The 23459-nt window shown below is 44.5% G+C and overlaps 1 protein-coding gene across 4 annotated transcripts; it reads right to left on the bottom strand.

Moving 5' to 3' along the window:
• On the bottom strand, positions 338 to 17871 carry NONO (non-POU domain containing octamer binding). 4 transcript variants are annotated; one of them, NM_001145408.2, is made up of 13 exons: positions 17785 to 17871; positions 17053 to 17109; positions 16409 to 16522; positions 10715 to 10877; positions 9534 to 9727; positions 6978 to 7279; positions 4846 to 4941; positions 4459 to 4655; positions 4045 to 4129; positions 3568 to 3670; positions 2998 to 3037; positions 2690 to 2799; positions 338 to 1564 (listed from the first exon to the last, which is right to left on the bottom strand). In NM_001145408.2, exons 4-13 carry the CDS (start codon positions 10866 to 10868, stop codon positions 1430 to 1432), a joined length of 1416 nt encoding a protein of 471 aa, NP_001138880.1. In that variant the 5' UTR covers positions 10869 to 10877; positions 16409 to 16522; positions 17053 to 17109; positions 17785 to 17871; the 3' UTR covers positions 338 to 1429. The 4 variants fall into 4 exon arrangements, with proteins under 4 accessions (NP_001138880.1, NP_031389.3, NP_001138881.1 ...); NM_007363.5 differs by lacking the exon at positions 16409 to 16522; NM_001145409.2 differs by lacking the exons at positions 16409 to 16522; positions 17053 to 17109.

The raw sequence follows: 23459 nt of genomic DNA, 5'->3' as shown, positions 1-23459 counted from the left end.
AGCAATTCCAAGCCTTGGACACAGCAGCAGCTGCTAAGAAACAAATACCAATTTTGAGACCCCCCCCGCGCCCCCAGCTCGATGAGGATTAAGCCCATTTTCTTCCTCTTTCAGAGGGGCAGCTTTCCTCCATCATTACTTCCATGTAGTATCAATAGCGCTAATCCTTGCCAACCCCTCCAGCCATTTGATGCACCTCATCCCCACCTCCTCCCCATGTTTGTCTAGATCAATACTGTAATCCAAAGGTCATAAAGGATTACCTTTATAGAGTCTACTGCTCATCTCCTAAGATAACTCCCCTCCCTCCTTTCCCCTTCAAAAACACCACAGAAAATTAAAAGGCTTAAAATGTATTTTAATAGGTTGATGCTGCATTACTGCTCCATTTTTCAGAAAAACTCCAAATATATGAGACAAATCAAACACAGTACACCAATGAAAAAAAAAATGCACAGCATGACTACCTAAGATAGGCGAGTCTAAGAGCTACTGTCAGACCTTCAGTATACAGTAACCCTGTTCCCAAGATTGTACTAGGCCTATCAAGAAAAGCTGTGAACAGCAACATCATAGACACAAAAGGGTCATTCCTGGGTGTCCTCACCCAAGAAAAAGATGGAGGCAAGTTAACACAAGATTTTTTTTTAAAGATACACTAAAATGAAAATCTCTAAGAGAAAATGTCTTCTTTAGGACATGAAGGGGTAATATATGGGGTATAACAGAACCGTATGTACGCTGCCTGTGACCTTTGTGGACGTTTGCCTGAATTCTCACCTGGGAGTGAATGGAGCAATGGGGCTAAGGTCATTGGGGGATGTTTGGTTTTTGTGGTGTATGTGGCAGTTTCTCTGGGGCTGGGGGAGTGTAAGGATAAGAAGCAAGTGAGGTTGGGCACGGTGGCTCACCCCTGTAATCCCAGCATTTTGGGAGGCCGAGGTGGGTAGATCACGAGGTCAGGAGTTCAAGATCAACCTGGACAAGCTTGAACCCGGGAGGCAGAGATTGCAGTGAGCCGAGATCATGCCACTACACTCCAGCCTGGGCGACAGAGTAAGACTCCGTCTCGGGGGCGGGGCAAGCAAATGAAACAAGATGGACAAAAAAAAAAAAAACCGGAATGATCAAGATTAATGGGCTCTAACTGGATCCACTTTGCCATGGTTTCCCCAGGCCCTCAACAGTCACATTAGAGACTTCAGGAATGCACCACACAGAACTGATTAAACAATATACCACACAGAATTGACTTGTTTAATACCACCCCTCCCTTGCCCTCTGCCTCCAGCATACTCCCTAGAGTAGTACAGGCAGGGTAGATCTAACTATTGGAAGGAATCCCTAACACTTTTCCAGGGTAGAATTCTGGCTAGTCCAAAAAGGGTCCTTCTTTTAAGGGTTTTGAGAAACTAGACACTGCAACTTATTAGTATCGGCGACGTTTGTTTGGGGCAAATTCAGCTCCAGGAGCTGCACGGTTGAATGCAGGAGGAGTTCCACCAATTGCCCCAATTCCTTCCATTGTAGCAGCCTGACCAAAGCGTTCAGTTGTTGGTGGGGTCTTAAAGAGAAAAAGAGAGCAACACTGTAACAGAGCCATTGTTGGAAGCTTCCCACCCATCTGTAGTCCCTCCACTGGAGGCTATTTCCATTCAACTATTCAAGGCTCCTGATGGTAGGTAGGAGTGGGTGACTAAGTCTGTTTAGAACTCTAGTGGATAACCCCAAAAGTGGTGGCGCATGCCTGTAATCCCAGCTACTCAGGAGGCTGAGGCAGGAGAATCGCTTGAACCTGGGAGGCGGAGGTTGCAGGGAGCCAAGATTGCACCACTGCACTCCAGCCTGGGCGACAAGAGCAAAACTCTGTCTCAAAAAGAAAAAGAAAAAAAGAAAAACAAAAACAGAAACAACCAAACTATCCAGTTTTGGCATTTTAACACCATAACCAAAACAACCCCAGGATTGCATGAGCCATGAAGTATTTGGATTCACAACTATTTTATGTGATAATGCCTAGCCTTCATTGACTTCCCTCCAACAAACATAGTCAATCAGACTGGCCAGTCAGACGGTGGCATTTACTTAACTCCTAGATTAAGTATAGAGACTGAGTTTGCTCAAGATTCAAAAATAAAGACCTTGAGGTTACATTTAATGGATACCAGCAGTCCTAAAGATTGCTATCTGGGCCGGGCTTGGTGGCTCACGCCAGTAATCCCAGCACTTTGGGAAACCGAGGCGGGCAGATTATCTGAGGTCAGGAGTTCAAGAACAGCCTGACCAACGTGGTCAAACTCAGTCTCTAATAAAAATACAAAATTGGGAGGCCGAGGCTGGTGGATCACCTGAGGTCAGGAGTTCGAGACCAGCCTGGCCAACATGGTGTAACCCCATCTCTACTAAAAATACAAAAATTAGCCGGGCATGGTGGCAAGCACCTGTAGTCCCAGCTACTCGGGAGGCTGAGGCAGGAGACTCGCTTGAACCCGGGAGGTGGAGGTTGCAGTGAGCCAAGACCATGCCATTGCACTCTAGCCTGGGCAACAAGAGGGAAACTCTGTCTCCAAAAAAAAAAAGACTGCTATCTATAGCAAACTGAGGTAGGCCCCCAGGGGCTGTGAAAGCAATGCCTGTTCTCCTCCTACCACCATTTAGAATTACTGTTAAGGCACTGCAGTTTTATTACCAATCCCAAAGTTCCATCCGGCATCATAGTGGCAGGTCCTGGAGGAGCTGGGGTACCAGCTGGCACAGGAGCAGGGGGCATGGCACCTCTGTTGTTTATGCCCATAGCACCTAAGGCAGAGTAGTGTGATCAGCACAAGGGATAAAGATTGTTAGTCTCTTTCTATGCCAAAGGAAACAATTCAACAAGACCTCTGGGCTAAGTAAGACATATATGTCACCCCCTTAAAGTAGGCAGCAGAAGCTACATAGTTCACCCAAGACCAAACAAAAAAGGAAATCAGAGCCATTAACCTCCTAAGTCCTTACCTCCCATAGCCATCTGACCCATCCGAATCTCCTGCTCTCTCTGAAAAACAAAAAATACTCAAGACAGTCCAAGACAGCAGTGCATTCTACCACAATCCATCAAGGACCACACACTAAGGGAAGTAGATAGAGTGATAACACGTCCAAACAGCACTGAGAAAGCTGAGGAGCACAACCCTTGCTAGTTGTGCAACAAATTCAAGGTCACAGAGCTACTAGGACGTAAGCCAGAGCCTCCTATTAGCAACAGAGAGGTGAAAGGGGGAAGAGATTGCTTCTGAAGCTCCAACTTGTACAATTGCAAGGACAGCAGAGGACTAGCCAAGGTTGCATATCTCTTCCTATAGTCACTGAGTCTAAACAGAATACAGCAGACCCAGTTTTTCATCCTATATTGCTTGTGAGGCAAGATCTCCTCTTCAAACCTTACCTCTCCTTCTTATGAATTCTTTTTTCTAAAGGGTTATTTCACAACACGGGAAAATTGGTCATAACCGGTAACCTAGCAGACAATTCATGGTGAGTTTATCAGGACTGGTCTGGTACATCACGGGCACATGGGAGATATACCGCATCAGGGAAGGTTCCCTTGAATCCTTCCTGCTGTCGCCGCATCATTTCTTCTTGCTGCCGCCGCATCTCTTCTTCACGGCGCCTGCGCTCTTCCTCCTGCCTACAGAGAGTCACCAATGTATTTAAGACAGAGGCATTTCAGAACTTGAGCAGATTAACAGGAGACTCAACCAAGGAGACTGGCCTACTGAAAACTATCAGTTCACCAGGAAACTCACTGTTAAGTGTGCCCAGCCCTGAGGCAACCCCCAAAGAAACCTCATGAGACCAGCATTCAGCTGCTTTCTTTTTAGCAGGTAACTTCTAGGACCATGGGCAGCTAAAACATCTCCAATCCAAAGAAAGAACCTGAGAAGCAGCCAGGAAATATTTGCCAACACATTTATAAATACACGAGGTAGCATGGCAGTAGGAAAGAGGAGTGAGACATTACCTTTTAGAGTTGTTAGGGAAAAAGTGTTCGAGAAAAGTTACCTGAGCTCCAGTTGCTTTCGTTTTTGCACCTCTTGGTTGTGCAGCTCTTCCATCCTCCGAAGTTCTTCTTGGCGCCTCATCAAATCTAAAAAAACAACAGACTAAGAATATTCCTCATTGTCTTCATATAGATCTAATGACTTTCTTCAAATAAAGATCCAGAAAGCAAAGAGGATCTAATTCCTTTGGAACCACCTGTGGTGTCCAGATTCCAAAATGAAGTTATACCTATCATTTCCTTCTCCACAGAATCCAGTATCTCTGCCACATCTCCAAGCCTATTTATCTACCAAAATCAACGCAAACTAAGTATAAAAGCAGAGATGTAGGCCCTTCTGTTAATTGATACAAAGAAACCCATTTAAAAATGTCATTTTGTCCTTTCAGCTTTAAGACTTACAGGCCTAGACTCACCCTGTCTCATTAGCATGACCTGGTGCTCATGGCGTGCAGCTTCCATCTCCATCTCCAGCTTCTCACGAGCCTCCTTGATGTTGCGGTCCACTTGGTCCTGCTGCTGCTTCTCCATCTCAATGAGTGCCTTCCAGCGCATGGCATATTCATACTCAAAGGAGCCAGGCTGTGCAAATCTGGGTGGCTGCTCTCGTTCCCTATAGGCAAGGTTCCTAGGTTACTAACTTTGTCCAGAATTACCCCAGCTAAGAATTGCATTCCTTGTGAGGACCAAGATAATGGCTGCCAGTGAACATGTGCAGCAAAGACCTGCCTCTTTTACATATCCCTTTATAAGCTTTCTTAAGAAGGAAACACCTAATAGGGAAATCTATCAAGACTGCATACTTGTGAAATTGCTGGTTTTTTATAACCAGCTTCTCTGGAAGTCCCTCTTCATCATCTAACTGGTCCATGGGCTCCACAGTCACAGGACGAGGAAATCTGGAAGAAAGAACAAAGTTCAGTGTTAATCAAATCATACCCCACCAGGCTTCTTCTCTACACATGTCACTGGCACAATGAATTAGCTAGGGCTCAGGATTGGAGGCTTCTGAAGTTTTTATACCTAATGACATTATAAAAAATTTGGGGTTGGGCTGGGGGTGGTGGCTCACGCCTGTAATCCCAGCACTTTGGGAGGACGAGGCGGGTGAATCATGAGGTCAGGAGTTCAAGACAAGCCTGGCCAACATGGTGAAACCCTGACTCTACGGACGTCTGTAATCCCAGCTACTTGGGAGGCTGAGGCAGGAGAATCACTTGGACCCGGGAGACAGAGGTTGAAATGAGCCGAGATTGTGCCACTGCACCACTCTAGCCCGGGCTACAGAGTGAGACTGTCTCAAAAAAAAAAAAAAAAAGAAAAGAAAAAGAAAAAAGAAAATCTGGGGTTGACAGGACGAAATCAGGACTTAGATCTCTGAATACAGTCTCAAAAAGATATTCCAAGTAGGTAGGTGCAGTACTTAAGTACAGCCTAAACATCTACAGACACTCTGAGAAATGACTTGTGGTAAACACTAAGAGATACTGCAGGCACAAATCAACTTTTCAGAACTCTAAATCTTCAAAGTAAAGAGAGACTTAACACTGACTACATGACAACCTACCGAATGACTAAAAAGTTATTTTTCATAATCGTCATCCCACGTCTATTAATATAAGATTACAGAAAAATCATACGAGAAAGCTTAGTACCAAAAGTCTTTTTTTTTGGAAACGGAGTCTTCCTCTGTCGCCCAGGCTAGAGTGCAGTGGTGCAATGTCGGCTCACTGCAACCTCTGCCTCCCGGGTTCAAGTGATTCTCCTGCCTCAGCCTCCCGAGTAGCTGGGATCACAGGCGCCCACCACCGCGTCCAGCTACTTTTTGTATTTTTAGTAGAGACGGGGTTTCACCACCTTGGCCAGGCTGGTCTCAAACTCAGGACCTCGTGATTCACCCGCCTCAGCCTCCTGAAGTGTTGGTATTACAGGCATGAGCCACCATGCCCAGGCTAATACCAAAAGTCTTTTTTTTTGGAGACGGAGTCTTGTTCTCTTGCCCAGGCTGGAGTGCAGTGGCGCAATCTCGGCTCACTGCAAGCTCCACCTCCCAGGTTCACGCCATTCTCCTGCCTCAGCCTCCAGAGTAGCTGGGACAACAGGCGCCCGCCACCACACCCGGCTAATTTGTTGTATTTTTTAGTAGAGACGGGGTTTCACCGTGTTAGCCAGGATGGTCTCGATCTCCTGACCTGGTGATCTGTCCCGCCTGGGCCAAAAGTCTTTTTTTTTTTTTTTTTTTTGAGACAGAGTCTTGCTCTATCGCCAGGCTGGAGTGCAATGGCACAATCTCGGCTCACTGCAACCTCTGCCTTCCAGGTTCAAGTGATTCTCCTGCCTCAGCCTCCCAAGTTGCTGGGACTACATGTGCGCTAATTTTGGTATTTTTATTTTATTTATTTGTATTTTTAGTAGAGACGGGCTTTCAGCATGTTGGCCAGGATGGTCTTGATCTCCTCAACTCATGATCTGCCCGCCTCGGCCTCCCAAATTGCTGGGATTACAGGCGTGAGCCGCTGTTTTGCCCAGTCTTTTATTTATTTTTTTGAGGCAGTTTCACTCTGTTGCCCAGGCTGGAGTGCAGTGGCGTGATCTCAGCTCGCTGCAACCTCTGCCTCCTGGGTTCAAGCGATTCTCCTGCCTCAGCCTCCCAAGTAGCTGGGAATACAGGCACACGCCACCATGTTTGGCTAATTTTTTGTATTTTTAGTAGAGACAGGGTTTCACCATGTTGGTCAGGCTGGTCTCCAACTCCTGACCTCAGGTGATCCGCCTGCCCCGGCCTCCCAAAGTGCTGGGATTACAGGAGTCAGCCACCATGCCAGGCTGACCAAAAGTCTTTAAACATAGAAAAGTGGTTACTAGAGGCTAACTCTCCAGACCATGGAAGGAATTAGCAATCTAAGGTCTACGTCTGAAAATGACCCTCACTTACGTGGTTAGCAGGAAGGAGCCTTCACTGCATCTGTCCAGAGCTTTCCGAGCAGCTGGCTTCCCTGAGAACTCAACAATGCCTTTTCCTGAGGGCCTTCCTCGATCATCCACAATGACTACAGCCCTCTCTACCTGGCCAAACACAGAAAAGGCTTCTTCCAGCAGTTCGTTGGACACATACTGAGGAAGGTTTCGAACTGTAAGGGATGCACTATGGCAGGCAAAGCGCACACGCAGCTGCTTTCCACGGAGTGGCATATTGTCCAGCTCCACTTTGGCAATCTCCGCTAGGGTTCGGGTTTCCTAGGAAGCAGAGGAAAATCAGAATAACTCAGTTTGACAAAGAACACCTTAGCAGCCATCAACAGTCTAAAGCAGTATAGTTCAATATCTCCCCGGAAAAACTAAACAACCATACAAAGAAACAGAAGTGAAAGAACTTAACTGTGTGCTTCAGCTCTTTGGCCACCCTAGTTTGCTTCTGATGGCCTTGCAATAAATCACATGTAGTTCTAGAAGTCAATAACACTTAGGTGATCATCAATTTCATAGGTATTATTCTCCCAATGACAACAGATCATCCAGAAAACAAAGACCATTGGCCGGGTACGGTGGCTCACGCCTGTAATCCCAGAATTTTGGGAGGCCGAGGCGGGTGGATAACGAGGTCAGGAGATCGAGATCATCCTGGCCAACAGGGTGAAACCTGGTCTCTACTAAAATACAAAAAATTAGCCAGGCGCAGTGGCACGCACTGGTAGTTCCAGCTACTCCAGAGGCTGAGGCAGGAGAACTGCCTGAACCCGGGAGGCGGAGGTTGCAGTGAGCCAAGATCACGCCACCGCACTCCAGCATGGGCAACAAAGCAAAACTCCGTCTCAAAAAAACGAAAACAAAAACTCAAAGACCACCCTAAAACCACCTAGAATATTTTAGTTTTTTTTTTCGAGACGGAGTCTTGCTGTGTTGCCCAGACTGGAGTGCAGTGGAGCAATCTCAGCTCACTGCAACCTCTGCTTCCCAGGTTCAGGCGATTCTCCTGCCTCAGCCTCCTGAGCAGGTGGGATTACAGGCGCTTACCACCATGTCCAGCTAATTTTTGTAGTTTTAATAGAGACGGGGTTTAACCATGTTGGCCAGGCTGGTCTCAAACTCCTGACCTCAAGTGATCCGCCCACCTTGGCCTCCCAAAAAGTGCTGGGATTACAGGCATGAGCCACCATGCTCAGTCTAATTTTTGCTAGGTATGTACCAGAATCACGAATATCCTCCAAGAAGCCTCTTTGGAACCAGGAACCTTGACAGGATCCCTTTCATATTACTAAAGAGAAACCTGATACCCAGAGAAAAATGACTTGGCAGATTGGAATGAAAATCAGTTCTGACCACCCCATCCAGTGATCCTGCTGTCACATTATTCTCTTCCATTTATGGAGGTAGATAATGTCTAGAAATGTTTTCCTCTCATATACTTTCCCTAAATCGAACCAGATTTTAAAATAATGTCTACACTTACAAACGGTTAAGATAGTAAATTTTATGTTATGTATGTTTTACCATCATTAGTTTTTTTTTAAGAGACTGGGTCTCACTCTATCACCCAGGCTGAAGTGCAGTGCTATGAGCATAGCTCACTGTAACCTCAAACTCCTAGGCTCAATCAGCCCTATCAGCTTAGCCTAGTTGAGTAGTTAGACTACAGACGTATACCATGCCTGGTTAATTCAATTTAAAATAGTTTTTTAAAGATACAAATAAACCAGGCACCGTGGTGCGTTGCCTTTGTCCCAGCTACTCAGGAGGCTGAGGACAGAGAATTGCTTAAGCTCAGGAATTCAAGTCTAGCCAAGGCAACATGGTGAGATACCCATCTCTTGATCATGGGGGGACAAAATAGGGAAAGGGTACAGATAAAACAAAATTAACCACAACTTGATAATTACTGAAGCTATGCAATGCATATGTGCAGGTTCATTATTATTCTGTCTACTTCTATATGTTTGAAATTTCCTAATTAAAACAAAAAAGTTCCAGCCAGGTGCAGTGGCTCACATCTGTAACCCCAATACTTTGGGAGGCCAAGGTGGGTGGATCTCCTGAGGTCAGGAGCTCGAGACCAGCCTGGCCAAAACAGTGAAACCCCGTCTCTACCAAAAATACAAAAATTAGCCGGGTGTGGTGACAGACACCTGTAATCCCAGCTACTCAGGAGGCTGAGGCAGGAGAATCACTTGAACCCGGGAGGTGGAGGTTGCAGTGAGCCGAGACCATGCCACTGCACGCCAGCCTGGGCCACAAGAGTGATACTCCGTCTCAAAAAAAAAAAAAGTTCCAAAGGGCATACTTTAGCTCCAGTATCCTAGGCAAAAAACTTGTTATCCTTGAAACAAAACTTATGAGGAAAAATTAAAATGTGCCATTTTTGTGGTTCTGTTTCATCAAGCTTTCAAGGAACACATCATCTGAGAATTATTTCCACTGCCTATTTTTGCACATCTATTATTCTCCAGCTTCCCCACCTTTAGAGCACATGCCTCAAAAGCCAACAGTTGCTCACCAAGCGGATAAAGCCAAATCCTTTATCCTTATGAATGAAGACTTCGCCTGCCTTTCCATATTTCTCAAATAGTTTCCTCATTTCTTCCTCAGTGATGTCGGGAGGAAGATTTCCCACAAAAAGACGGCTTCGTTGGGTGAAGGTCTTCTCTCCTGGTTTTCTAAAATTCTTCAGGTCAATAGTCAAGCCTTCATCTGAGAGAAGACACACAGTCACTTAAAAGACTGGGGAAATAGAATTATAGTCGTATCCTCAAAGACCTATAACCACTGATAAATGAGGAAACATTAATTGTTGTAGAGAATGTAAACACCATTTCCCAAGGCAACCTAACCACTTATGAGTAAATTGTGCCTTAGAATGTGAAAGCAGTATGCAGAGGACATCTGAACAGCTCTACGACGGGCCAGAAGCCAAGCTGGACTAAGCAAGAGAAAGAAAAATATAGGCGTTACCGGCCAAAGAGAAAAATTAAGCAATTCAAGGAAGCAGCCCTATGTTACAAGGCATCAGATTTTAACATTCAAAACGTACCTTCAGATGAGAATAAACAAACAAAAAAAAAAACAAAAAACAAAGTAACTGTTCCATTTTCCTAATCTCTCACCAATTTTCATAACCTTAACAGTTCCCATTCTTTCAGGCTGGGGGCAACAGAATGAAATGAGTTAGGAAAGAGCAACTCTTTATAGTAATCTCTGGAAATAAACAAAGTTGGGATTGGTTCTAGTCTTAGAGGCACACAATTGGTACTCAAACAGGAACATATACTTAAAGACTTTTTACAATGAGCTGGTACAGGCTCAAGGCTAAAAGTACAGTATTCAGTACCAGACTTCTCCATTTAAGCCTTAAAGACTTTTCTATATTATTTTTAACTACCAGTCATCTGATGACTACCTCTAAGAACCAAGCTGAGGTAAAACATGCAGACATCTGTTTAACAGTAGAATGTGTCAACACAGCAGAGCAACCTGTACTCAACTGCTGTCATACATGTTTGCTCCTTGGTTCCGGAGAATCAGCCTTTTCCATCGTAAGTATTAAGAGGTAAAGAGAAAAAAGAACAAAGGTGTGCCATAAAGGCCTATTCCCTTATAAGCCCGAGAAACTAATCTAAAAACCAAGAAACCATTCCCAGAGGGAATCCATTTCTACTCCATCACCTAGCATATACACACTTTGGCTGCTGGCCTGTTGCCCATTTGCAGGTATTGGCGGTGGTGGCGGCTGCTGCTGTTGCTGCTGGTGGTGCTGCTGCTGGTGGTGATGTTGATGATGCTTTCTTGGAGTATGGTTTTGCTTCTCCAAGTTAAAAGTTTTATTACTCTGCATTTTTGCACCCTACAAAGAAAAAGTAGACTAATAAATAAATTCAGTACTAATAACACAATCAGCCACCTTCCTGATGACTTATATGTAATTCATCACCTTAAGTGCTCTGGCTTTTGTCAGAGGCAAACAATTTGTTACTTTGAACAACCATGACAAAGAAGAACAATTCAAAAATCTATCAGTGCTGCATATGGAAACTATGTTAAAAAAAATCTTGCGTTCTGGAGGTTACAAAATATAGTAAAAATCAAACAAAAAAGGAAAAAAATAAAGAAAAAATAAATAAAAAGGCTGGGTGCAGTGGCTCACGCCTGTAATCCCAACACTTTGGGAGGCGGAGGTGGGAGGACTGCTGGAGTCCAGGAGTTTGAGACCAGCCTGGGCAACATGGTGAAACCTCACCTCTACCAAAAAAATACAAAAATTAGCTGGGTGTGGTGGCGCACGCCTGTGGTTCTAGGTACTCGGGAGGCTGAGGTGGGAGGATCACTTGAGCCCAGGAGTTCAAGACCAGCCTAGACAACACCGTGAGACCCCCATCTCTACAACAACATTTAAAAATGACCCAGGCAGGTTGGGCGTGTGGCTCAAGACTGTAATCCTAGCACTTTGGGAGGCCAAGGTGGGTGGATCACCAGGTCAGGGGTTCGAGACAAGCCTGGCCAACATGGTGAAACCACATCTATACTAAAAATACAACTACCCAGGAATGGTAGCGGGCGCCTGTAATCCCAGCTACTTGGGAGGCTGAGACAGGGGAATGGCTTGAACCTGGGAGGTGGAGGTTGCAGTGAGCTGAGATCGTGCCACTGTACTCCAGCCTGGTGACAGAGTGAGACTCCGTCTCCAAAAAACAAAACAAAACAAAAAAACACTACCCAGGCATAGTGGTGCCGTAGTCCCAGCTACTCAGGAGGCTGGAGCTGGAGGTTCACTTGAGCCCACGAGTTAGAGGCTGTAATAAGCCATGACTGTGCCACTGCACTCCAGCCTGGGCAACCAAGAAAGACTCTATCTCAAAAAAATAAAAAATAAAAATAAAAATCTGGCCAGGCACAGTGGCTCACACCTGTAATCCCAGCACTTTGGGAGGCTGAGGCAGGCAGATCACGAGGTCAGGAGATCAAGACCATCCTGCCTAACATGGTGAAACCCCGTCTCTACTAAAAATACAAAAAATTAGCCGGGCGTGGTGGCAGGCGCCTGTAGTCCTGGCTATTCGGGAGGCTGAGGCAAGAGAATGGCGTGAACTCAGGAGGCGGAGCTGGCAGTGAGCCGAGATTGCGCCACTGCACTCTAGCCTGGGCAACAGAGCTAGACTCTGTCTCGAAAATAAAATAAAATAAAAAATTTTAAAAAATTTAAAAAATAATAAAATTAAAAACAACGAGGCATCAGCAGTTATACTGCACATAAAAACTAAATGAGTACTGGATGAGAACTGTTTGCACTAGAATCGCTTAAGGAACTTCCCAGTTCAATACTACACATTAATAGAAAACTACTTTTCCAAAAAATCTACTCTTAAAAACTCGCCCCATCACACATTTAAGCATATTTTAAAAACAAAATGATCGAAATAGATTCTGGTTATCACAAGGACAAAGACTAGTAAAGTCTTATCTTCTCTGGTACCTACCAATCCTAGCCCACAGTACATACCGTGGAAATAACAGTGGTACTAGTATGGGCTGTGAGGTTAGGCATCCTTAGGTTTGAATTGTGTTCCTCAATTGTGTACTACTTACTAGTAAATTACTCTGTACCTGTTTCTTCAGCTGTTCTAAAGGGGATGATAAAAATACCTGTCTCTCAAAGTGGCTATGAGAATAAACATGTGAAAATGCTGGCTCACTACTGGCATACAGTACACACTCTAAATATTTATTAATTACAGTGGAAAGACAAATGACTACTAAAGCAATAAAAGCAAACATAAAAAGATAGGCCAGGCGAGATGGCTCATGCCTGTAATCCCAGCACTTCAGGAGGCTGAGGCCAGTGGATTAGCTGAGGTCAGGAGTGCAAGAACAGCCTGACCAACATGGTGAAACCCCATCTCTACTAAAAATACAAAAATTAGCGGGGTGTGGTGGCACATGCCTGTAATCCCAGTTACTCAGGAGGCTGAGCCAGGAGAATCACTTGAACCTGGGAGGCGGAGGTTGCCGTGAGCCGAGATTGTGCCATTGCACAAGAGTGAAACTCCATCTCAAAAAAAAAAGAAAAGATAAATAGGCTGGGCACAGTGGCTCACATCTGTAATCCCAGCAATCTGGGAGGTCTAGGCAGGAGGACTGCTTGGGCCCAGTAGTTAGAGACCAGCCTGGGCAACATAGTGAGCCCCACCTCTACAAAAAATATGTATTAAAAAAATTAGACAGGCATGATAGCACACTCATGTAGTCCCAGCTACTTGAGAGGCTGAGGCTGCAGTGAGCTGTGATCACGCCATTGTATTCCAGCCTGGGCAGGGAGAATGAGACCCTGTCTCAAGAAAAAAAAAAAAAAAAAAAAAGATAAAAATAATAAAATGTTAAATTCTATCATTTAAAAATCAACATAAGATTAAAAAGAAAACAAGTGCTCTGTGCTCCCAAACGTTGAAATAAAAAAAAAAAAAAAAAAATGAAGCCAGCATGGTGGCTCAGGCCTGTAATCTCAGCACTTTGGGAGGCTGAGGCAGGAAGATGGCTTGACCCCAGGAGTTTGAGACCAGCCTGGGCAACATAGCAAGACTCGGTCTTTATTTAAAAAAAAAAAAAAAAAAAAGGGTAGGGGGGAGGGGAGGCCAGGTGCAGTGGCTCATGCCTGTAGTCCCAGCTACTTGGGAGGCTGAGGCTGGAGAATCACTTGAACCCACGAAGAGGAGGTTACAGTGAGGCAAATCATAACACTGCACTCCAGCCTAGGCAACAGAATGAGACCCTGTCTCAAAAAAAATAGAGAAAAAAATAGGCTGGGTGCAGTGGTTCATGCCTGTAATCCCAGCACTTTGGGGGACTAAGGCAGGCCAGATCACCTGAGGTCAGGAGTTCGAGACCAGCCTGGCCAACATGGTGAAACCCTGTCTCTACTAAAAATACAAAAAAATTAGCCGGGTGTGGTAGCTTGCACCTGTAGTCCCAGCTACTTGGGAGGCTGAGGCAGGAGAATTGCTTGAACCAAGGAGGACGAGATTGCAGTGAGCAGAGATGCTGCCATTGCACTCCAGCCTAGGCGGCAGAGTGAGACTTGGTCTCAAAAATAAATGAATAGGCCAGGCGTGGTGGCTCACACTGGTAATCCCAGCACTTTGGGAGGCCGAGGAGGGTGGATTGCTTGAGGTCAGGAGTTCAAGACCAGCCTGACCAACATGGTGAAAACCCGTCTCTACCGAAAACACAAAAATTAGCTGGGCATGGTGGTGGGCATCTGTAATCCCAGCTACTCAGGAGGCTGAGGCAGGAGCATCACTTGAACCTGAGAGGCGGAGGTTGCAGTAGGCCAAGACAGTGCCGCTGCACTCCAGCCTGGGCAACAAAGTGAGAGTCTGTCTCAAAAAATAATTATAAACACAGAAAATTATATTTCTCAGATGAAAGAAATGCGACAAAGGCTTGGTAACTATTGATTTTGATGATGAGTATACGGGAATACTTTCAAGTGTATAAAAACATTCCTAATCTGTTTAATGTCACATCCCACCAAAACTGAAAACATTAATGCAATTACCAAATTCTGTATCCAAAAGTTTAGTAAGAAAAAAAGTAACAAGAGCTATCAAGATGTTAATTCATAGTCTTTAATTTGGAAATTCTACTCCTGGAAATTTATCCTAATAATTTTAAAATTAAAAACTACACCCGTGAAAGTGTTCATTGTAATGGCCTTTATGGTAAGAAAACAATAAAAATGACTTAAATTTCCAAAATTAGGGGAATGGTTTTCATGAAAGTACGGTACATCTATACAACAGAATGTTCACAGCCTTAAAAATTATGAAGACCACATAAACACGAGTATGTCTGATATTCTAACGGGGAAAGGTTTTTTCTAATTTTAAAGATGTGAATATAGACAAGGGAACAGAAGGTAGGCAAAAATGAAAACAACTGCATTGCTTTTAGGTTACTGATAATTTTTCAATTCACGATTTCATTCAAAAAATATTCAGTGAATGCCTACCATTTGCTAGGCACTATTCTAGATGGTTACAGTGGATTAGTGAACAAAGCAGATTCTTGCCTACAGAACTTGCTTCTAGTGAGAGACAATATATATAAGTAAATTATATAGTACTTAAGAGGTAAGTGCTATGGGAAAATAAATAAAAATGGGGGAGGAAGGCAAAGTGGATAGGGAGAAGGAGGCAGATGGTAAACCTCACAACATCTGACATTTCAGCCAAGATTTAAATTTTCACATTTATATCATTTAATCAATTTTGTTTCTCATTAATGTTATAAGGTATCAGAAATTACAACTTAAAATTTTATTTAAAAATTTTTAAACAGAAATTACAATCAGATACTTATTACAAAATGTATTATAGAAAATTTAGAAAAACCAAAATAAATAAAAATACAAATATAAAAATCCATAGACCTGCCACTAAAAATAGTCACTGTTAACATGTTGGTATATCCTTCTAGTCATTAATTTATGTATTTGAAATGAGATATGATAAATACTATTTTGTAACCTGTTTTTTCCACTTTATGATGTATCATAAACAGCTTTCATGTCATTAAATCTTTTACGTTAACGGACACAGCATTCAGTTGTCAACCAAGTCCCTATTGTGTTGGACACCTGGGTCGTTTCTAATTTTTCACCATTATAATCAATGCTCATAGCTAAATCTTTGGACATATCCATGATTAAATATTCCTCCCACAATTTTCCATTCTTGCTTATTTAGACATACATTATCATTTCAGTAACTGATAATGCACCCTTGTATATTCAGAGTTTCCTCATTTCTGCTAATGTCAACATAATTGTAATTTTTAATGACTATATAAAGTTCACCAGGATGTACTACTTTACTAAACTACTCCCTACTATAAGACATTTAGGTGGTTGTTTTTGGCTTTTCCTATTATAACGCTGCAGTAAATGTCTTCTGGCTTTCAGCTTTATTTCCATTTAATTATTTCCATAGGATAAATTCTTAAAAATAGAATCTATCCTGTGACTCTTGCCACATAGTGCAACGTCGTTTTCTCAAAAAGTTGTAAGGATTTTAAACGCCATGAGCAGGTGTAGCAGTTTCATGGCAAATGAGATACCTTTAAAAAAAAACAACAAAAAAAGAAAATAGTGTTTTAAAAAATAAGATATAAAAGCAGGAAGTTAAAACATACAAAATCTAAAGTCCACCCTGGAAATAGTTGGGGATGGGGCAAGGTGGGCATCAGAATCAAATCTTTTCCTACTTGGGTTCCAGGTGTTAAACATCTCTCTTCCCCTGGCCCCGGAGAGGCCCAGGATGGAATGCACTAGTGAAGACTATCATAATAAAGCACCTATAACAGTGCCCACCAAGTAGCAAGTACCTTGAGAAGTATTTCTTCCTATCACCTACTTCTGATGACCACCAATATAATTTGGAAATATGTGCAGAACCCTCTTCAGAGTAATAAATTCACTGTCGCCTAAATACTGGGCCTCTGAAAAGAGAACACAGCACGAAGATCAGCAGCAAAGATTACTGTCTACTTGTGTCCCTGAGACTAATAATCCTGATGAAGAATTTTGAGAGAAAACACGTATTGCTGGTTGAGAAAGACTCTAACCACTGGGCATGCTACAGTTAAACAAATGTTTAGGTAGAGGACCAAACACTACATCACACATATCTGAAATCTAAATCTGGTATAAATTTACAAGACTGAGATGGCTGCCTGGATGGCCAGCCTGAAAGCTGTAAAATGAACTAAGGTCCTTCTCTAAGAGTTTCTTAGGACTTTTCATTTAATAACAAGGAAGGTGGACAAGGACACAGTATAAATATAACCAGGGCCCCCCCACTAGAGTTGCCAGATTTAGCAAATAAAATACACAACCCACAATTAAATTTGAAATTTAATTGAAAACTATGCAACATATACTTAAAAATAATTGGTTGTGTAGGTGAAATTCTAATTCAACTGGGTGCCCGGTGTTTTGTCTGGCAACCCTATCCCTTCCTTACACCTACCTCAACTTCGATTGCAGACAGCAAAGTGCCTCCCAGTTCCCTCTAACCTCGACTTCTCTGTTAAAAACACAAAGAAACGTGTCAGGTTATGGTAAGAGTTTCTCAAACTGGAAAATAAAATACTCGATGCGAAATCCATAAATTTAAGTTTCATTTTAAAAAGTGATGCTATATAAATGCGTCAAGGAGCTAGGCGGTTAGGACTTTAGAAAAAGGGCATACAGAAATCTGACTACGAAAGCGGCGGGCTCTGGATATGCAGAGGAACTTTCCAGCTAAGAGTTTTGACAAAGAAATATCGCTTGAGGGGCCCCACTTGCCCATTCTGAATTAATGGCCTCGCGGGGCCGAGAGGAGGAGCGCCCGACAAAGCGCCTCCTCCTCTAACCAACCACGACTTCAGCGATCTCTCATAATAGACCCCACACCGTCGGGCCCAGGGCGGCTCAGAGGCCGGCAACTTACTGACACGGGTAAGATTCGGAGATGAGTTGCACAAAGAAACAGGGCAGGAACGAAAATGGGGAAAGCCCGAAGCGAAGCGAGTTGAGAAAGGTGGCCCCCCGCGGGTGGGCTGAGAAGGCAGTGTGGCGGCAGAGACAAGGCCTCAAGGGGCCTCGGAAGCGCCATCCACCCTCCAAACCTAGCTTCGCCCTAGCCTCTTCCTTCGCTGATTGTTCCAAGAAATCCCACTACCCTCCCAAACAAGAACCAAGACGTCCCAAAACTCACCCTCTACCGACTGGTATCTCCTCGGAGTAACGGCGACGCTACACGGCCTCTCCCGTCCCGAGAAAAGAGCGCGCGACCGCCGGAAACGAGACGACGGAGCTCGGTGCCTGCCAAGGGGTACAAAATGGCGTTCTCGATTGGTTAGCTAAACTGCCAATCAAGGTTTAGCTCCCGAGGCGGAATCATTTTTCCGCCATTTCTTAGATTCTATTGGCTGCCGAATGCCAAAGGCTTGAGTTCGTGTGAACGACAGATGGGGACAAAGAGCGAGGCTTTGTACCTAATGCGCATGTGCAAGCGGCCTGGCGCGTGAGACGGGAAAGGAAAGGGGGAGGGGGAAAAGGAAAGGGAGAGGAGCTGGGGGTGGGGGTCGGAAGGAGAGACCTAAACGAACTGACTGAAAGACTGAAAGACCAAGTGGTGGGAGGGGGAAAGGAGAGGAGAAAAAGGGAGAGGAAAGTGGAAAGAGGGAGAGGAAGGGGAGAAAATGCGCGCGTAGGCGTGCTCGGAGCAGTCCTGCACTGCGCCTGTGCAAGAAGCAAGAGTAACAATGTCATTGTATTCAATGGAATAGATTTGGCCTTTTCCTACTGAAAAAAATGCCCCGCCATGTTTCTTTTTTCACACTTCCTTGTTAGGGCTTGCATCCTGACACCCCATACTTAATCATATTTCTAGATGCTTCTCCTGTTGCTGGGGCTACTCGGGAAACGCAACTGAAATAGTCAACTCTTTGGTCATGGTTACAGACGGGGTGGGGGAGGAGGGGGTGCATCATACCTTAGGCTCTGCGTGATTACACAGAATTGTAACCAGCACCCTCATTTCCATGGTAACCAGAAAACCTAGCAGTCCAAACATCACTATTGTTCCTATGATTTACTGAGAGATTCAACAGGTGTCATCATTGCCATGGATATATTGTAGGCCTCTAGATCAGACTGTATATTCCATAGGAGGCCTATCAGTAACTAACCTTCATTGTTTCAGTAATGCCTAACTCGCCCCGCCCCCGTGGTTAACCAAGGACTACAAGGATCAATTGATAAGTATGTGTTGTTAATTCCCATTAATTAATTCACACTCAGGGTTGCAGGGTATCCCAATGGGCACCACCTTATGTGGGGACACAATGATCTAGACTTGGGCTGTTCAATAGAACTGTGTGCAATGATGGAAAGGTCCTATGTCTGCTGTGTTCAATATGGCAGCTACTAACTATAAGTGGCCATTGAAATATGACTAATGCAACTGAGAACCTGAATTTTTAATTCCGGCTAGGTGCAGTGCTCATGCCTATAATCCCAGTACTTTGAGAGGCCGAGACGGGAGGATCGCTTAAGCCTAGGAGTTCGAGACCAGCCTGGGTAACATGGCGAAACTCCATCTCCGAAAAAAAGCAAAAATTAGCCTGTCGTGGTGGAGTGTCCCTGTAGTCCCACCTACTCAGGAGGTTAAGGTTAAGGTGGGAGGATAGCTTGAGCTCGGGAAGCAGAGGCTGCAATGAGTGGAGATCGCGCCACTGCACTCCAGCCTGCGTGACAGAGTGAGACCCCGTCTCAATTAAAAAGAAGAAGAAGAAAACTAATACTTACTCATAGAAAAAAAAAGAAAAATCAAACAATACCCAACAGTATAAAGAGAAAAGTCTTGGCCGGGTGTGGTGGCTCACGCCTGTAATCCTAGCACTTTGGGAGGCCGAGGCGGGAGGATCACGAGGTTAGGAGATCGAGACCATCCTAGCTAACATGGTGAAACCCCGTCTCTACTAAAAATACAAAAAAAAAATTAGCCGGCGTGGTGGCGGGTGCCTGTAGTCCCAGCTACTCGGGAGGCTGAGGCAGGAGAACGGTGTGAACCCAGGAGGCGGAGCTAGCAGTGAGCCAAGATTGCGCCACTGCACTCCAGCCTGGGCAATGAGTGAGACTCCGTCTCAAAAAAAAAGTCTCCCCCCCATTCATTCTCTAGAGATAGCAATTATGACCACTTTCTTGCGTTTCTATTTTCTATGTATGTACTGTTTATATTTATTTACTTAGAGACAGTCTTGCTCTGTCACCCAGGCTGGAGTGCAGTGGCACAAACACAGCTCACTGCAACCTCTGCCTTTCAGGTTCTAGCGATTCTCCCACCTCAGCTTCCTCAGTAGCTGGGACTACAGGAGTGCACAACTACGCCCACGGTGGGTTTGTATGTTTTGTAGAGACAGGGTTTCACCATATTGCCCAAACTGGTCTTAAACTCCTGGGTGTAAGGAATCCCGCCTCCACTTGGCAAAGTGCTGGGATTACAGGCATGAGCCAGGGCACCCAGTGGAGGACCACTTTTTTTTTGGCGGCGGGACGGAGTCTCGCTCTGTCGCCCAGACTGGAGTGCAGTGGTGTGATCTCGGCTCGCTGCAGCCTCTGCCTCCCAGGTTCAAGCGATTCTCCTGCCTCAGTTCCCGAGTAGCTGGGATTACAGGTGCCTGCCACCGTGCCTATGCCCAGCCAATTTTTTTTTTTTGAGACAGAGTCTTGCTCTGTCGCCCAGGCTGGAGTGCAGTGGCGCGATCTCAGCTCACTGCAAGCTCCGCCTCCCGGGTTCACGCCATTCTCCTGCCTCAGCCTCCCGAGTAGCTGGGTCTACAGGCACCTGCCACCACGCCCGGCTAACTTTTGTATTTTTAGTACAGACAGGGTTTCACCATGTTGGCCAGGCTGGTCGCAAGCTCCTACCTCAAGTGATCCGCCCACCTCGGCCTCCTAAAGTGCTAGGATTACAAGCGTGAGCCACTGTGCCTGGCCAGGACTACTTTTTAATATCAAACATTTTACAGATTGCCACATGATAGTTTTTAGTATCTGCTGAGTGAGAAAATCCATAATTACAAAAAACCACTATGGATTCAATAAAATTTTAATGAATTTATACGTTGTTAATCAAATAAGTGTAAAGATGTTCATGTAAACCAATAATTGCAATACCTTACACAAATAAAATAATAGTAGCATATTGGAGGTACAGTAGCAGTAAAGGGTAACATGGATCTGCTTGAGTAGATCAGGAATGGCTTCGCAGGAAAGAACACCCTTGAATTGGTTTATATATTTATTTATTTATTTTGACACAAGATCTGGCTGTCACCCAGGCTGGAGAGCAGTGGCATGAACACAATTCACTGCAGCCTTGACCTCCTGGGCTCAAGCAATCCTCCTACCTCAGCCTCCAAGTGGCTGGGACTACAGACACTCACGACCACACTCGGCTAATTTGTTTGTTTGTTTGTAGAAACGTGGTTTTGCCATGTTGCCCAGGCTGGTCTTAAACTCCTGAGCTCAAGCCATCCTCCTGCCTCAGCCTCCCAAAGTGCTGGGATTACAGGCATGAACCACCTTGCCTGATCTGAATTGGTTCTTGACCAAGAGGATGAAGTCAAAAAGGTCAATGTGCAAAGTGTCAGAGGCAGAATGATACATGTTTTGGGTAGTTTTTCATGGCTGAAGAGAAGTGGGGGTGCTGAGTGATAGGAAGTTAGGCTAGAGACATAGGCAAAGACCAAAAAATTAAGGCCCTGTGCTATGCTTAGAAGTTTGTACTTTAATCTGTCAGTGATGGGGAGCCATTGAAGGGTTTTAAAAAATAATTTATATTGCTTTTTCTGATTATAAAAGTAATATATGCTCTTTGAGGGAAAAATTGGAAAATGCACAGAAGAATAAAAATCATCATAATCCCACTGTCCAGAAATAATTTTTAATATTTTGGTATTTTTTTCTTCCAGGTATACACACACATAGATAGATAGATAGATAGATACATACATACATACATACATATATAGATACATAAATATATAGATGGAATGATAGATATATAGAGACAGAGACACAGAGACAGAGAAAATCATTTTTTCCATCTGTGATAGGATTGAATTTTAGAAAATCACTGTGTTCGTTTCCTGAGGCTGTTGTAACAAATTACCACAAATTTGGTGGCTTAAAACAAGAGAAATATATTTTCTCACAGTTCTGGAGGACAGAAGTCTGAAATCATTATCACTGAGATGAAATCAAGGTGTTGGTAGGGGCATATTCCTTCTAGAGGCTCTAGGGGAGAATCTGTTTCTTGTCTCTTCTGGCTTCTGGTGGCTGCCGGCATTCCTTGGCTTGTGGCCCTTTCACTCCAGTCTCTGCCTCCATCATCACATGGCCCTCTCCTCGTCTCTGTGTGTCAAATTTCTCTCTCTGTTATCAGGACATTTGTCATTGCATTTAGGGCCCACCTGGATAATCTCTCTATCTCAAGATCTTTAACTTAATCATATCTGCAAAGTCCTTCTTTTCTGCCATATAAATTAACACTGATAGGTTCCAGGGAAGAGGACATGGATATAACCCTGGGAACAGAGTGTAGAATAGATTGGAGGAGATATGCTAGGAGATAGGGACACCAATTAGGATACAATGATGATAATTCAGGTAAGAGACCAGGAAGTACTGAACTACGGCAGTGGTTTTAGGGGTAAAGAAAAGGAAACCAGATTCAGATATTTAGAAGGTAGGATCAAGGGAACTTAATAACCAGTTAAATGTAGGGGGTAAGGAATGGAAGAAGACTAGAATGATTCCCAGGTTTCTGATTTGGGTGCCTGGAAGTCTGGTTGTGCCACTAACCAGGATAGTAAATAGAGGCAGAAGAGCAAGATTTGGTGAAAGTCAATCAGTGCAGTTTTGGTCATGTTGAGTTTAAGTGTATGCAGAATGTCCGGGTGGAGATAACATGTAATTGGCTATAAGCCCATTGAAATGTAGGTCTAAATGTCAAAATAGAGGTCTGGATTGTCGACATAGACAATGTGTGAGTTGTCAACCTAACGTTGGTAGTGGAAGCTGAGGGCATAAGGGAATGAGAAAACTAAAGTTAAAAAAAAAAAAAAAAAAGACGGCCGGGCGCCGTGGCTCACGCCTGAAATCCCAGCACTTTGGGAGGCTGAGGCGGGCAGATCATGAGGTCAGGAGATTGAGACCATCCTGGCTAACATGGTGAAACCCCGTCTCTACTAAAAATACAAAAAAATTAGCCGGGCATGGTAGCAGGTGCCTGTAGTCCCAGCTACTCGGGAGGCTGAGGCAGGAGAATAGCGTGAACCTGGGAGGTGGAGCTTGCAGTGAGCCGAGATCCCGCCACTGCACTCCAGCCTGGGTGAGAGCGAGACTCCGTCTCAAAAAAAAAAAAAACAACCTAGGACAGAAGCCTGAAAAACATCTACAGTTAAGAGGCAGGTGATGGAGAGGAGCCAGCCAAAGCAACAGAGAAAGAAGGTCCGAGCAAGGCTTTGAGAGGCCATTTTTTTCTTTTCTTTAATTTTCCGCCGGAGTCAGAGTCTTGCTCTGTTGCCCAGGCTAGAGAGCAGTGGCGTAATCTCAGCTCACTGCAACCTCCACCTCCCTGCAACCTCCACCTCCCGGGTTCAAGCAATTCTCCTGCCTCAGCCTCCCAAGTAGCTGGGATTACAGGCATGCACCACCACGCCCAGCTAATTTTTGTATTTTTAGTAGAGACAAGGTTTCACGATGTTGGCCAGGCTGGTCTTGAACTCCTGACCTTGTGATCTGCCCCCTTGGCCTCCCAAAGTGCTGGGATTACAGGCGTGAGCCACCGCGCCTGGTCTTTTTTTTTTTTTTTTTTTTTTG

This window comes from Homo sapiens, chromosome X, assembly GCF_000001405.40.
Source record: "Homo sapiens chromosome X, GRCh38.p14 Primary Assembly".
Taxonomy (NCBI): domain Eukaryota; kingdom Metazoa; phylum Chordata; class Mammalia; order Primates; family Hominidae; genus Homo; species Homo sapiens.
The sequence above is the reverse complement of the archived record's forward strand: the minus strand, read 5'-3'. Positions and strand labels throughout refer to the sequence as shown.

Coding starts and splice junctions, on each gene's coding strand:
- NONO (NM_001145408.2), bottom strand. CDS start 10,868: ATGCAGAGTAATAAAACTTTTAACTTGGAGAAGCAAAACCATACTCCA. Junction 2,800..2,997: donor GGGTCAGATGGCTATGGGAG/GTAAGGACTTAG, acceptor ACTCTGCCTTAG/GTGCTATGGGCATAAACAAC. Junction 1,565..2,689: donor CGGATGGAACTTTGGGATTG/GTAATAAAACTG, acceptor TTTCTCTTTAAG/ACCCCACCAACAACTGAACG.